General features: G+C 41.8%; 1 protein-coding gene across 3 annotated transcripts in view, besides 2 other annotated features; it reads right to left on the bottom strand.

Moving 5' to 3' along the window:
• LDLRAD3 (low density lipoprotein receptor class A domain containing 3) overlaps nucleotides 1–15,924 on the bottom strand; it is a 288,075-nt gene that overhangs the window by 43,035 nt on the left and 229,116 nt on the right. Inside the window, exon 4 of one of the 3 annotated variants that reach the window (NM_001304264.2) lies at nucleotides 4,994–5,109. The exons of the other annotated variants lie outside the window; for them this stretch is intronic. Coding sequence (NP_001291193.1) covers nucleotides 4,994–5,084 — 91 coding nt within the window. The 5' untranslated portion in view covers nucleotides 5,085–5,109. The remainder of the gene's footprint in view (nucleotides 1–4,993; nucleotides 5,110–15,924) is intronic. 3 annotated transcript variants of the gene reach the window in all.
• Nucleotides 6,269–6,563: a silencer, noted in NCBI's record as "tiled region #9208; K562 Repressive non-DNase unmatched - State 23:Low". NCBI's record gives its function as "represses a minimal TATA promoter and a strong SV40 promoter by Sharpr-MPRA in K562 cells {active_cell/tissue: K562}" and the evidence as "EXISTENCE:reporter gene assay evidence [ECO:0000049][PMID:27701403]".
• Nucleotides 9,545–9,763: a silencer, noted in NCBI's record as "fragment chr11:36200889-36201107 (GRCh37/hg19 assembly coordinates)". NCBI's record gives its function as "represses an EF-1alpha promoter that drives an FKBP-Casp9 reporter gene in an ReSE screen in K562 erythroleukemia cells {active_cell/tissue: K562}" and the evidence as "EXISTENCE:reporter gene assay evidence [ECO:0000049][PMID:32094911]".

Genomic DNA, 15,924 nt, shown 5'->3' with positions numbered 1-15,924 from the left:
AAATATGTTTAATGTGATGATGGTTGCAAATTCTATGAAAAACCCAAATTGTACAATTTCAATGAGTGAAAGCATGCTATGTGAATGTCTTAATAAAGCTTTTATTTTAAAAAATGGAAAAAAAAAAAAAGCTCTTGGTTGTGGGCTTCACCATTAGATGATTCAGTTGCGCCACTTCATTGACATCCAATCTCTTAAACTGGTGAGTTTTCCCAAAGAAGACTTTTATAAACTCCTGCTTAGAAGGAATATGAGCCTGGCTGGCTGTGTTCTGGGACCTGACTTGAGGAAAAGGGCTAGTAGTTTCAATGTTCATTATGTTGACTTATGCTAAATCCCTGTTTTCAGAAACGGACCCCCATTCTCAGCTGTGCTTCATATCTGGTATTCCAGAGACCTGTTCTACCCTCAGCAGAGAGTAAGCTCCAGTCTTCTGCCTGGGTGTGAGAGGGGCAGTCGCTAGGCTGTGTAGCATAGGGAAGGAATATGAAAGTGTCATAGCTTCCTAACGAAATTTCAACTAATCTTCCCATTTTTAGCCCATCTCTTCTGTTTCCAGAGTTATCTCAAGTTGCCAATTCCCAGGCCTTCTGGAAGTATATCTGGTTGCCTCTTGGTTCTCCTGAGTGCCAGCTTAGAATTCCATTTTCTGAGTTCACTAATCCAGTCATAGCTCACCCATTTGTTCTCCAGCTTCCACAATTTTTTTTTTTTTTTTTTTTTTTTTTTTGCTGGTTTTCCTCTCCTTTTCTTTGTCCCTGTGGATTTACCCTTTAAAAAACCATTCTTTTAGAGGAAGGAAACAGAGGTAAATGTGAGTATTCAAGTTACCACTTTAAACTACAAGTTTTGAAGGTAGGTAGTCATATCATTTACTCCCCTCAACTATTGAAGGCACCTGGACTTCCCAGGTAAGTGATACTAATGGAATTCTGCGTGCCCTGTGCTGCGGTGACCAATCTCTTCTCGATGTGGTGCACTTTTCAACATAGAAAGCATGCTGGGTCAATAGTAAGAAAATAGGGGTTAATTCTAGCTCTGATTCCTACTCATCGTTATCCTTGGTATCATTTGTAGTCTCAGGATAAAAACCACCAACCTATGTACTTTCAGGGTTCTTAGTAGGATCAAACAGGATAATGACTGTGAAAGCACTTCAAAAAGCACAAAGTACTACAGAAACACAAGGCTTTGCTATTACTTAAAAACCTCACTTTCATCTCTTGAAATTCAATCTAACGTTATCTTGGCCTGTCTTCAGGAGACAGAGGCTTGTCTCCAGTAATCATATAAATCATCCTTGTGGCATTCAAAAGAAATGTCCTGTAGTCACACAGACATATGACTTGGGATAGTGTTTCTCACCCTACCAACACTGTCCTTGTTGCTAAAACCAGCCGGTACCACAGCATCTAAAACAAACACACCCAGAATCCAAGATTTTATTGCGGAGAAGGGATAAGTCAGATGAAACTCTTTTGGGGGAGTCCATTTCACAATGTGTCTGCTTCTCAGCTGAGCTGTATGTCCACCTTGACTAAAGTTAGAAATACGGAAAAAAGAGTGGTTAATATATCCAAACAGTGGATATATGATAGCCACTGAAAAAGAATGGGGTGGCAGTGCTCTATGTAGTGCCATGAAAGATGTTTTGTAGGATTCCGTTCCTATAATAAAACAACATAACCCTATATATGTGTAGGTATTTTTCTATCTACACATCTATATATTTGTATTATATAGGCACATAGATACACGACATGCATATATAGAAAAGTCTGGTTGCATTTTCACCAAATCATGCTGGTCACTTCTGGGGAACTGAAAACAACTTTTGCTTTTTACTTTATATAGTTCTAAGCAGTTTGCTCTTTCTCATAATATGCATAGGTTACTTCTGATCATAAAAAAGGAAAGACTAAATGTAAATTAAAAGAGTAAAAAAAACCCTAGGATCTGAGAAAAGAAGTAAAGGTAATAGGAAGCCAAGGAAAGATGGATATAGGAGAAGAGGCTAAGAAAGGGGCCAGAATTAGCAGGAGTTGGGGGCAGGTCACACACATCTGCTAGAGACGTGCAAGCAGGTGTATCTCCTCCCAGCTGGTAATCACAAATGGATCCCCTGTGGGCCATGGCAACCACCTGCACATTTATGCAAGCTCCACTATCAACTTAAGGGGAGGAATAACTCATTTTTTAAAAACTGTGTAATTTCCATACAGCAAAATGCACACATCTTGAGTATACAGGCTATGACTTCTGAAAAATGCATATGCCCACGTAACCCACAGGGGGGCTCATTTTAAACAAAATCTCATAGCCATATGCAAGTGCATGAATCTGTAGGAGATGAGCTCACTCAGCCACGATCAGTCACAGGAATAGGTGGTGAGTATGGGATTCATACCCCATCCGTCTCACTAATTCTGAATCTGGACCTGCCTGGTAGTGCTATCTAGTCTTCTGACTGCATTTCCCAGAGATCTCCTGATTCCTTGTACTCCTAATTTGGGTTTCTCCTAGCTCAGTAACTCACATGTCTCTTGGCAATGAACATGGTAACCCTAGACCACACATGCAATCAGTCTGGCAAGAATGTACTGGCCTGAAAAGATTTTTGGATGTGGACCAACTCTCTCAAATAAGCCAGCTACCATTGTCAATTTCCCCTTTCAAAATGGGAGCTGTTAGCTCCTGTGACTCACTGCAAGAGAAGACTATTTTATAGACATTGCCGGCAACTGCATATACCGTAGTTTCTCTGGGCTAGCATAATAACCATGATATCTCATATTTACTGAGTGCTTATTACATGTCAAGCATTATACTCTAAGTACCTTACATGATTGATCTGTATAACACCACCATGAGATAGGTACCACCATTATTTCCACTTCATAGATGGGGAACTCAGGCACAGAGATGTGAGTAACTTGCTCGAGGTCATAGAATTAAAAAGTGATAGTGTGAGGAATGGGAACCCAGGCAGTTGGTGACTCCAGGGTCTGTTTTTATCTGCAAGGCTATACTACACTTTCTCTCATTCAGGGAAGGACAGGCAGACCAGGGTTTTAAAGTGTCACCTCCTGTCTCCCTGGCTAGAGCTTTCTTTGCCTCTGTGGCCTCTAATATATAAAAATGTCAAGTCCATCTTTCTTCTAAAAAGAGGTAAATATACAGTCATCTCTAGGTATTGCTAGGGTCACAAAGGCGTCTCTTAGCTCTGTCTAGACATAAAGCCAACAGAGCATAATGCATAACAGTGCTTTATAGCCAGAGGTTTTTATCTTGTTATTTCTTCTCTGAGGAGTTGGCTGATAAATCAGACTTCACCAGTAGAGAAGAATGTGTGTTTTCAAGGGTGACTTTCAGAAGCAGAGTGAAGGGAGAGCAATAATGTGGTAAAGAGAGGCATCCTTCAGAACCAGTGGCAATCTCACCTCGAGAGGCCAATTAATCCATGTGAGGGAATAATGAACTCGACAGTGAGGGAGCCCAGGTACAGGCTATCTCCCCACTTTTCAATGACAGACACTGGAGCACTCTTTCCAGCTCTCATTTATCAGTCTCAGTGGTGAACACAAGCCATCTTGTGCCACTGCATTCCTCAAACTGCATTTATTGTCTAGAGGCACATGGTGATCGTGACAGGGAAGACTAGCCCAAGTTCATCTGAACAGCTGTGGTTCCTATACCCTAAATTCTCAGCATCTAAAGATTTTTACCTTTTATGGAATCCCCTTTGTCTCCTTCTAAAAGTACTATTTGATCTTTTTATTGCATTAAAGTTACTGGTGCTTTAAGACTTGGTCCATCTCATTTGAGATACCTGGAAACACTCTAGGGAGAACAAAGGTGAAAGATCTGGGCAAAGGTCAGTAAAATATTCTACCCAACTACAGGCCAGAGGACAGCTTCAGTTTTGTCTCTCCAACATCATGGGCTGGAATAAACAGAGGAATGGTTCTATAATTCTAGCGCAGAGACTTCCAGTTCTAGTAATATGGCGAGCTATATATGCAAACCATCTCCCCTACTGGGGAAAAAACCTAATTCTAGAGTAAAATATATTTTTTAAGATTCTTAATATCATCAAAAAAGTAAAAAAAAGGAAAAGGTAAGCATCTGGAAAATTGAGGCAAATTTTCTTCCAAGGGCAATGGTGAGCTAGACCAACTTGAGTTTCAGTTTTGCCAAAAATTGAGAGGAACATTAAGTCAAGATCCAGGGCCAAAGTGGAGAGTCTAAAGGAGACCCTCTGTTATGCTTGGACTCCAAAGTGCTAATTTTTAAGGTGAGGATGAGCCAGAAATAAACCTTCTCCAGATCAGAGGACTGTGGAGAAGGCTGTCTTTGCAACAAATTCAACAAGGGAGATGTGGAAGGATTTATTCACCATGGATGGCCTTCTCATGGATTGTATACCTTGGCCTTGCATTACTCAGATGGTCCAGGGAACCTCAAAAACTTGGTTTGAAATGGTCCTGAACTGGTAGTACTCCTAGGAACCTGTCAGAAGCCAACCTAAATCTCTCTGGAGAAAGGCATCTTTTATCACAGTCTTCAATGAATTTCCAAAAATAATTTTTCAAAGACAATGAGTAATATACAGTCAAAAATACTAAGTACTGGAGGATCCAGGATACCATGAGTAGACCAGTAAAAACAGCAGATATCAGAAATAGACATGTAAAGACTTCAGATATTAAAATTATCAGACCTAATCATAAACATATTACTAAATTTCATGAACATATTAGTAAATTATTAAGAAATAAAAGCAAAGCTTGAATATGTCCATCTGCAGGGAAGAGTAAACTATTAAAAAATGATGGAAGACTGGACACAGTGGCTCACATTTGCAATCCCAGCACTTTGGGAGGCCAAGGTGGGTGGATCACCTGAGCTCGGGAGTTTGAGACCAGACTGACCAACATGGAGAAACCCTGTCTCTATTAAAAATACAAAATTAGCTGGGTGTGGTAGCGCATGCCTGTAATCCCAGCTACTCGGGAGGCTGAGGCAGGAGAATCACTTGAACCCGGAAGGTGGAGGTTGCGGTGAGCCGAGATGTGCCACTGCATTCCAGGCTGGGCAACAAGAGCGAAACTCCATCTCGGGAAAAAAAAAAAAAAAAAGATGAAATATATTTGGAAAAAGAACCAAATAGAACATCTAGAAGTGAAAAATACTGTAGCTAAAATTAAAAACTCAATGGACCCACTTAACCGTAGATTAGACACAGATGAAAAAAGAATAAATGAACTGAATGATAGCTCAAGAAGAATTATTCAGAACGCAGCAGAAAGAGACACAAAAAGAGAAAATATGGACGAGAGGTTAACAGATATGGATTGAGGTGATCTAAAGGAAATTCAAATTATGGTGCAGAATCACCTTTGGAGCTTATTAAAACATGGATTCTGGGGCTCTAATACCACTCTTTTGATTCTTCAGACTAGGTTGAGTCCCAGGAACATGCAATATTAGCAGGTGTGGTGTCCATCTATACTTTGAGAAGTATTAGAGTAGTGACATCTAGGTGGTAAAGTTCAGAAGTTAATTTTTTCTTCTTGTCCAAACTAGACTAAGTTTTTCACCCTTCACTGACTGCAACCTTTTCATCCAGCATAGCTGGACAGAGTGTGCAATATTTCTCCACGTAATATGGTCAACATGTTTTACTTTAATCCAATAGAGGTTTAGATAGGAAAATCAAAACATATTTTGAAAACCAGTATTTCTAACTTTCCAAAGCAAAAAATCTTTTACAAAGCAAGTAATCACACCCTAGTTCTGCTTTGAGTAGGTTGAAATTTATTACCTTTGCTTAAATTAAGGTTTGTAAAAGTACATGCTGCTTTTCTTTCATTCACACCAGCTTGTGAAGTGTCTCCCAAAAGTTAACTAACACCGTGTGTCTAGGGCTGGATCACTTAAGCTCTCTGGGTCTCCCACCTTCCCACCATCCCACCGTCTACGTCCCACCATCTACAGTGCCTGGGACCCTGTAAGTACTCAAAAACTAGAAGCCATTATTCATAAATGATAAATTCAATTTTGTATTGTGGTCCCAACTGGATAGGCCCCCTTCTTGTTTCCTCATCCCTTTAAATTCCTTGTGCTTCTTCAAAGACAACAACTTCTTGACACAACTGTCTTAGCCTAGCTCCTTGGTTTAATGCTTAATATCAGGCTCTGCATGTGTTTAACAAAAACCAAAAGCTTGCATTATTAAACTGAGACACACAGCCCCCAGTCATTCCAGGAATGCCTTCCCAAAGACACAGAAGACAATAGATGAAGGGGGATGTCTGTGGTTTGTCATCATGGTCTTCTCTGCAGAACGGTAGCATGCACTATTAGGGGTCTGCAAGAGCTTCAACAGGGAACTGAAGGTGAGTGGCAACATTCCACAATCCCTACTCCAGGGGAAGTGAACAAGGGGCTTGTGGAACTTCAGATACCAAGAGGAGGAGCAAATCTCCTAGGCCTGCAAATGCTCTAATAAGCAGCCAACGTTGCCAAGATTGGAGCCCACTCACTCCCTGTCTTCTTGAAGGGGAAATCAAATGAGGAGAGAAAAAAAATAGTTTGTTGAAATGATGCCAAAATTTTGAGCCAAGAGGACCGAATTCTGAAGGTCACTCAAAGGTACTGTACTTCTACCTATATTTCTCTACTTTCTAAGTCTCTATACTACCTTTCTTTTTTTTTGCGGGGGCAGGTGGAGGGGAGAGTGGTCTTCTTGCTCTGACAAACCTATATACCTCTTGGTGATAAGCACTATGTAGTTTCAAGCCTCATATATTCTATCTGGAAAGGACTGATTCACAAACAACCTCACACCCTGGACACAATTCCATCCTGGGGATCATTTCCAAGCAAGAGGAATGCGGAGTCACCTCCTATTTAAAGCTGATCAATTTCTTTACCTTCATTCTCCTCACTTCAATGATTTGTTACTGGCTACTTCCACCACTCCTGTCTAGATAAGCTCCTCCTTTCTGTTATCTGCAGGCTCAGATCAGTGTCAAGGCCAAAGTCAGAGAGGGAGGGAAGGCACAATAAGATGCTTCCTAGCAGCTAAGGTCACTCAGTCTGACTTTTTATTTCTGATGCTTTGGGTCAATTGTGAGATAAGGATGTGCATATGTGTATTACAGAGAGAGAAACAGTGAGAGAGAGAAAGTGTGAGAGACAGAGACAGAAACAGAGAGAGAGAGGAGACGGTTGACAACTGACTTCCATCCTCTCATCCCCACTCAGGGCCTTCTAACTAACAATTTAATGACACTTACATTTTCAAAATGTTATCCAACCATTAGTAATTGAGGACCTTTTCAGAAACAATGTTGGGCTGCCTTCTCAGGAGAGAAGGAAAGCTGTAATTAGAAATACGGCAGTGTATTCAAAGAGGCCACATTTAATTAGTCGATTTTAATTTAATTTAGGTAGGGTCTATATAAGACAGCTCATATCCAACCCCACAGCAGGAGATGCCAGAGGCGTTTCGGAGGCTCCATGTGAAAACCTAGGGTGCTTGTTCCCAGGGACGGTCTGGACTTTGGAGTCTGAAGGCCTAAGCTTGAGCCCCTGCCCTCAGGAGCTTGGCCTTGGAAAAGACACTTCACCTGACTCTGTTTCCTCATCTGCAAAATGTGGATAATAAAGCTACCTACATTTCAAAGGCTGATAACAGGATTACTGGGAGGTGATGCTTATCCAGCACTTAATTAGCTCAGGGCTCAGGACACAGTAATTTGTGGAAAAATAGCTGCAAAAAGACAGAGAACAATAAGCAGGGGTAGTGAGGAAGGCTTATTTTTTCACCTTAGTCCTGTAATTCTTAGATTTTTTTTTTTTTTTTTACCATGTGTAGGTATTACTTTTGTAATGAAAGCTAACTAGTTATTTTAAAGACTAGCCAGAGTTTTGAAGTGGTGCCAGCAGTTAATACATTTTATTGGGAGAGGTCAGCATCTGATCGTTAAAAAGTTAACATTGAGCCACACACGGGGACAAGAGTCACCAATCTCTGCCCGAGATCAGCTACCCAAGGCCACACTGAATTTCAGGAGGTAATATATCCCTAGCTGAGTTCCTGATGTGTTCTTTCTGCAATGTGTGCCCCTGCCCCATCTCTGTTACTGGTAGCTCCGTCCTTCCATTTCTTTAGGCCAAAAACCTTGGTGCCATCCTTAGCGATTCTCTCACACTCTACATCAAATCCACAAGCAATTCCAATGGTCTCTACTTTCCAAGCATGGCCCGCACTGACCGTTCTTACCACACCAATTGGCACACGCTGGCCTTGGCCACCATCCGCACCCCACCCCCAACCCCCACCTACCCCTTATTACAGCCAGAGTCTCCCATCTGCTTCCTCATGTCCACCACTACCCTCTGCAGTCTATTCTCAACACAGCAGCCAGATGATCCTGTCAAAATATGAGCCACATGAGGGTACTCCTCCACTCAAAACTGTCCATGCGCTCCGTGTCACCCAGAGTAGAGGCAAAAGTCCCTTCAATGCCTCATAAGGCTTCACTGTCTGGCACACGCCTCCTGTCTTCAGCTGTCCCCAGCTCCCGCCACTCTCCTCGCAGGCCTCCTTGAGCACCTTCCTACTTACTTCTACATGTACAGTGCCTCTAGACTATACGTCCATGAAGACAGGGATTTGGGCTCATTGTATTCACTGCTGTACAACCAGTCTCTAAGACAGAATCTGCCACAGGGCAGACACTCAACAAGTGTATGTTGAGTAAATGGCCCAACAGAAAGGTGTTCTAAGAAAGCCAGCACAGCAGTTGTGACCTCTGCAACTCAGGTCCTCTGGGCCACAAGCAGAAGAGAGTGAAGAGGCAGACAAATCCCAGCTGAAGAAGAGCTGCTGACTTAGGATGGAAGAGACCTTCAACTAATGCTGAGGATGAGGAAAAATGATAGTGTACCGAGGCAGGTAGGAACCCCCTGGAACCAGGATGCAGAACTGAATGTGGCACTTTGGGAAGAAAACTGACACAGCATCTACCCTGATCTGTGCGTTGGGCTGGCCATTTTACATATGTTGTTTTTTGTTTGTTTTGATTATTTATTTTTTTGAGACAGGGTTTTGCTCTGTTGTCTAGGCTAGAGTGCGGTGGTGTGATCACGGCTTACTATGGCCTCGATCTGGGTTCAAGCAAGCCTCCGACCTCAGCCTCCCAAGTAGCTAGGACCACAGGCAAGCACAGGCTACCATGTCCGGCTAATTTTTTATTTTTTTGTACAGATGGGGGTCTCCCTGTGTTGCCCAGGCTGGCATCAAACTCCTGGGTTCAAGCCATCCTCCTGCCTCAGCCTCCCAAAGTGCTGGAATTATAGGCATGAGCCACCGAGCTCAGCTACATCCGTTGTTTTATTCACTCCCTGCAGTGGCCTAAAAAGGCAAGTATTATCCCATTTTACAGATGAGGAGGCTGCTTAGGTCTGCACAACTAGGGAACTGAAGAACTGGATTCAAACTCAACTTTATTTGGTCCACTGCCCCAGTGGTTCTCACAAGGTGTTTTAGTAGCAATGAACTTCTGAGCTGAGACGCTTGTAAAAAATACAGGTTTCTGGGCTCTAACCTTTTTTTTCTGAGACAGAGTCTCACTCTGTTACCCAGGCTGGAGTGCAGTGGCACAATCTTGGCTCACTGCAACCACCACCTCCTGGGTTCAAGTGATTCTCCTACCTCAGCCTCTCAAGTAGCTGGAATTACAGGCACCTGCTACCACTCCCAGCTAATTTTTGTATTTTTAGTAGAGATGGGGTTTCACCATGTTAGCCAGGCTGGTCTCTAACTCCTGACCTCAAGTGATCCATCCGCCTCAGCCTCTCAAAGTGCTGGGATTACAGGCATGAGCCACCATACCTGGCCTATCTGGGCTCTACCTTTTCATTCGGAATCTCCAGGGATGCAGAACAAGAATGTGTACTTAGTGAACACCCTGGGATTCCCATGTCAGCCAGAGCATTCTGTCTCCCTGCTTCATTGTTGTTCAAGTCAGGGAAAAGATTAAATTACAGAGACAGGTCCTGCTCTGTTGAGAATTCAATGCAGTTCACAATTAAGGACGGCTTCTGATAGCAAAGGCAGACAGCCCATACTCTGGGTAACAAGGCATGCTTTTACTTCTATGACCTCAAGACACTTACAATCAAATTGGTGGACAAATCAAGGTAGGCAAGTGTCAGGAATACAAGTTCTCCACCATAAGTGATGGAAAAGCAGTATAAATTACATGCTATGGATGTTCAAAGGCAGGAGGGATGGGAGGGTCTCTGGCACAGAAGTGAAAATCAGCTCATGATTCATCAGGTAGGTGGTATTTGAGTCTTGAAGGATGGAAACAACTTTAGCAAGTGGAGATGGAGACAGAATATTTCATGTGAAGGGAATTAGCGCTGGTCAGTGGAAGGAGAGAAACTGCAAGATCTTTTTGGGTAATGATCAACAATCCAGTTTTGATGGGGCATAGAGGTGGGGTATATGTCCACTGGACTCAAATGCACGGCTCTGAATGCCATGGTGAGGAGCTTACTCAAAAGGGGCATTTGGAAGGGGTTTGAGTGGGAGAGGTAACAACTGAGAAAAACAAATATGACACTGAGTGTAGGATGGATTTGGCGTACGACGGAATGAGGAGGTGGGAAGACCACTGGGCAGATGAACCATGGAGGTCAAAGAAGTGTGGCAGGTTCCAGGAGAGAACCCTCAGCAGTTGGGCTGGCGGCGGGGAGGGGAACAGTGGGAAACTGAAATCCTGGGCTGGAGAGGAGGTTGAAGAAACTCTCACTGGGAGGCCTTAATTCTTCTCCATAGAGTTGGAGGCAAGGGCTTCTGCAGGATGAGACTGAGGGATTGAGAACAAAGTGGTATAAAACTGTGGTAGCATCAAAAAACTGAAAATAGGGAAAAATGGTGGTGAGGAGGCAGGACTAACTTGCAGCTCCCACTCAGAAGGACAGAACAGCATGTAGAAACTCACATCGTGAACTTTAGCTCCAAAAACCACCACAGGAACACAGCAGGAAAGCCACAAGATTTCACAGAATCTTTGAAGGAAGTGGCTTGCCACTGCAAACTCCATGAGACAGCCAAAAAACAAAAACTCTGAATTCAGACAAAAGACATAATCTCTTAGGAGCTCTATGGCACTGCCTATGGCCTGAGAAACCCAAATACTTATCCAGGCGACCTTAGGTTGTATCAGCTGATGCTCTCTTGAAAGCATCACCTCCTTGCTGGAGTCCAACCAATCGGGAGCACAAGCAGCATTTGTGAAAACCAGCGGACTATACAAAATTACAACCAAGGACAGAGTCCACTTCACTCCCCTGCTACCTCCACCTGAGCAGGTGCTGGTATCCACGGCTGAGAGACGTGAAGATGGATCACATTACAGGACTCTTTGACTCTCTGCAGGCACTCCCTAGCACCAGCCTGGAGTCCAGTAGCTCCACTGGGTGGCTAGACCCAGAAGAGCAATAACAATCATGCAGTCTGGCTCTCAGGAAGCCCCATCCCTAGGGGAAGAGGGAGAGCACCACATCAAGGGACCACCCTGTGGGACAAAAGAATCTGAACAGCAGCCCTTGAACCCCCAATCCTTCCTCTGACAGAGTCTACCCAAATGAGAAGGAACCAGAAAAACAATTCTGGTAATATGACAAAGCAAGGTTCTTTATCATCCACAAAAGATCACACTAGCTCACCAGCAATGGATCCAAATCAAGAAGAAATCACTAAACTGCCAGAAAAAGATCTAAGAAGCTCAATTGTTTAGCTACTCATGGAGGCACCAGAGAAAGGTGAAAACCAATTTAAAGAAATTTAAAAAGTAATATAGGATATGAATGAAAAAAGTCTCCTTAGAAGTAAATATCATCAATGAAAAACAATTACAACTTCTGGAAATAAAAGACACACTCAGAGAAATGCAAAATAAACTGGAAATTTTCAACAATAGAATCAAACAAGTAGAGGAAAGAACTTCAGAGCTCGAAGACAAGGCTTTCAAATTAACCCAATCTGACAAAGACAAAGAAAAAAGAAAAAAAAAATTGAACAAAGCCCCCAAGAAGTTTGGGATTATGTTAAACCACCAAACCTAAGAGTAATTGGTATTCCTGAGTAAGAAGAGAAATCCAGAATTTTGGAAAACGTATTTGAGGGAATAACTGAGGAAAACTTCCCTGGCCTTGCTAGAGACCTAGACATTGAAAGAGAAGAAGCTCAAAGAACACCTGGGAAATTCATCACAAAAAGATAATCACCTAGACACATAGTCAACAGGTTATCTGAAGTCAAGATGAAGGAAATAATCTTAACAGCTGTGAGGCAAAAGCATCAGGTAACCTATAAAGGAAAACCTATCAGATTAACGGCGGATTTCTCAGCAGAAACCCTGCAGGCTAGAAGGGAGTGGTCCTAGCTTTAGCCTGATTAAACAAAACAATTATCAGCCAAGAATCCTGTACCCAGTGAAACTAAGCTCCATAAATGAAGGAAAGATAGTCTTTTTTAGACAAAGAAATGCTGAGACAATTCACCACTACCAAGCCAGCACTTACAACAACTGCTAAAAGGAGTTCTAAATTTTGAAAAAAAAAAACCTTGAAATACACCAAAATAGAACTTCCAAAAAGCATAAATCCCACAGGGCCTATAAAACAGTAACACAATGAAAAAAAGAACCCCACAAGGTATTCAGGCAACAACTAGCACGAGGAACAGAATAGGACCTCACATCTCAATACTAACATTGAAAGTAAATGGCCTAAGTACTCCACTTAAAAGAGAAAGAATATCAGAATGGATAAGAATTCACCAACAGCAGACAAGTATCTGCTGTCTTCAAGAGACTCACCTAACACATAAGGACTCACATAAACTTAAGGTAAAGGGGTGGAAAAAGACAGTCTATGCAAATGGACAACAAAAGCGAGCAGGAGTAGCTATAGACAAAACAGACTTTAAAGCAACAATAGTTAAAAAAGACAAAGAGGGACATTATATAATGGTAAAAGGATTAGTCCAACAGGAAAATATCACAATTCTAAATATATATGTACTAACAATGGAGCTCCTAGGTTTGTAAAACAATTACCTCTAGACCTAAGAAATGAGATAGACAGCAACACAATAATAGTGGGGGACTTCAATACTCCACTGATAGCACTAGACAAGTCAAGACAGAAAGTCAGCAAAGTAACAATGGACTTAAACTATACCCTAGAGCAACTAAACTTAACAGATATGTACAGAACATTCTACCCAACAACTGCAGATATACATTCTATTCATCAGTGCATGGAACATTCTCTAAGACAGACCATATAATAGGCCACAAAACAAGTCTCAACAAATTTCTGAAAACTGAAATTATATCAAGGATTCTCTCAGACCAAAGCAGAATAAAATTGGAAATTGACTCCAAAAGGAACCCTTAAAACCATGCAAATACATAGAAATTAAATAATCTGCTCCTGAATGATCTCTGGGTCAACAATGAAATCAAGATGGAAATTAAAATTCCTTGAACTGAACAATAATAGTGATACAACCTACCAAAAACTCTGGGATACAACGAAAGCAGTGCTAAGAGGAAAGTTCATAGCATTAAATACCTACATTGAAAAGTCTGAAAGAGCACAAATAGACAATCTAAGGTCACACCTAAAGGAACTAGAGAAACAAAAACAAAGCAAACCCAAGCCCAGCAGAAGAAATGAAAGAACAAAGATCAGAGCAGAACTAAATGAAATTGAAACAAAAAAAATTACAGAAGATAAATGAGACAAAAGGTGGTTCTTTGAAAAGATAAACAAAATCAATAGACCATTAGTGAGGTTAACCAAAAAAAAGAAGAGAGCTCCAAATAGGTTCAATTAAGAATGAAATGGGAGATATTTCTAGTTCTAGATCCTTGAGGAATTGCCACACTGTCTTCCACAATGGTTGAACCAGTTTACAGTCCCATCAACAGCGTAAAAATGTTCGTATTTCTCCACATCCTCTCCAGCACCTGTTGTTTCCTGACTTTTTAATGATCGCCATTCTTTTTTTCTTTTCTTTTCTTTTTTTTTGAGACGGAGTCTCGCTCTGTCCCCAGGCTGGAGTGGAGTAGCACGATCTCAGCTCACTGCAAGCTCTGCCTCCTGGGTTCATGCCATTCTCCTGTCTCAGCCTCCTGAGTAGCTGGGACTACAGGCACCTGCCACCACGCCCAGCTAATTTTTTTGTATTTTTAGTAGAGACAGGGTTTCATCATGTTAGCCAGGATGGTCTCGATCTCCTGACCTCGTGATCCGCCTGCCTCAGCCTCCCAAAGTACTGGGATTTCAGGCGTGAGCCACTGCGCCTGGCCTAATGATCGCCATTCTAACTGGTGTGAGATGGTATCTCATTGTGGTTTTGATTTGCATTTCTCTGATGGCCAGTGATGACAAGCATTTTTTCATGTGTCTGTTGGCTGCATGAATGTCTTCTTTTGAGAAGTGTCTGTTTATATACTTTGCCCACTTTTTGATGGGGTTGTTTGTTTTTTTCTTGTAAATTTGTCTGAGTTCTTTGTAGCTTCTGGATATTAGCCCTTTGACAGATGAGTAGATTGCAAAAATTTTCTCCCATTCTGTAGGTTGCTTGTTCACTCTGATGGTAGTTTCTTTTGCTGTGCAGAAGCTCTTTAGTTTAATTAGATCCCACTTGTCAATTTTGGCTTTTGTTGCCATTGCTTTTGGTGTTTTAGACATAAAGTCCTTGCCCATGCCTATGGCCTGAATGGCATTGTCTAGGTTTTCTTCTGGGGTTTTTATGGTTTTAGGTCTAACATTTAAGTCTTTAATCCATCTTGAATTAATTTTTGTGTAAGGTGTAAGGAAGGGATCCAGTTTCAGCTTTCTCCATATGGCTACCCAGTTTTCCCAGCACCATTTATTAAATAGGGAATCCTTTCCCCATTGCTTGTTTTTGTCAGGTTTGTCAAAGATCAGATGGTTGCAGATGTGTAGTATTATTTCTGAGGGCTCTGTTCTGTTCCATTGGTCTGTATCTCTGTTTTGGTACCAGTATCATGCTGTTTTGGTTACTGTAGCCTTGTAGTGTAGTTTGAAGTCAGGCAGCATGATGCCTCCAGCTTTGCTCTTTTGGCTTAGGATTGTCTTGGCAATGCAGGTTCTTTTTTAGTTCCATATGAACTTTAAAGTAGTTTTTTTCCAATTCTGTGAAGAAAGTCATTGGTAGCTTGATGGGGATGGCATTAAATCTATAAATTACCTTGGGCAGTATGGCCATTTTCACGATATTGATTCTCAAAGATCTAGATCTAGAACCAGAAATACCATTTGACCCAGCCATCCCATTACTGGGTATATACCCAAAGGATTATAAATCATGCTGCTATAAAGACACATGCAAATGTATGTTTATTGTGGCATTATTCACAATAGCAAAGACTTGGAACCAACCCAAATGTCCATCAATGATAGACTGGATTAAGAAAATGTGGCATATATACACCATGGAATACTATGCAGCCATAAAAAAGGATGAGTTCATGTCCTTTGTAGGGACATGGATGAAGCTGGAAACCATCATTCTCAGCAAACTATCGCAGGGACAAAAAACCAAATACTGCATGTTCTCACTCATAGGTGGGAATTGAACAATGATAATACTTGGACACAGGAAGGGGAATATCACACACCTGGGCCTGTTGTGGGGTGGGGGGAGGGGGGAGGGATAGCATTAGGAGATATACCTAATGTAAATGACGAGTTAATGGGTGCAGCACACCAACATGGCACATGTATACATATGTAACAAACCTGCACATTGTGCACATGTACCCTAGAACTTAAAGCATAATAATAATAAAAAAGAATGAAATG

This window comes from Homo sapiens, chromosome 11 (assembly GCF_000001405.40).
Source record: "Homo sapiens chromosome 11, GRCh38.p14 Primary Assembly".
Lineage (NCBI taxonomy): Eukaryota > Metazoa > Chordata > Mammalia > Primates > Hominidae > Homo > Homo sapiens.
The sequence above is the reverse complement of the archived record's forward strand: the minus strand, read 5'-3'. Positions and strand labels throughout refer to the sequence as shown.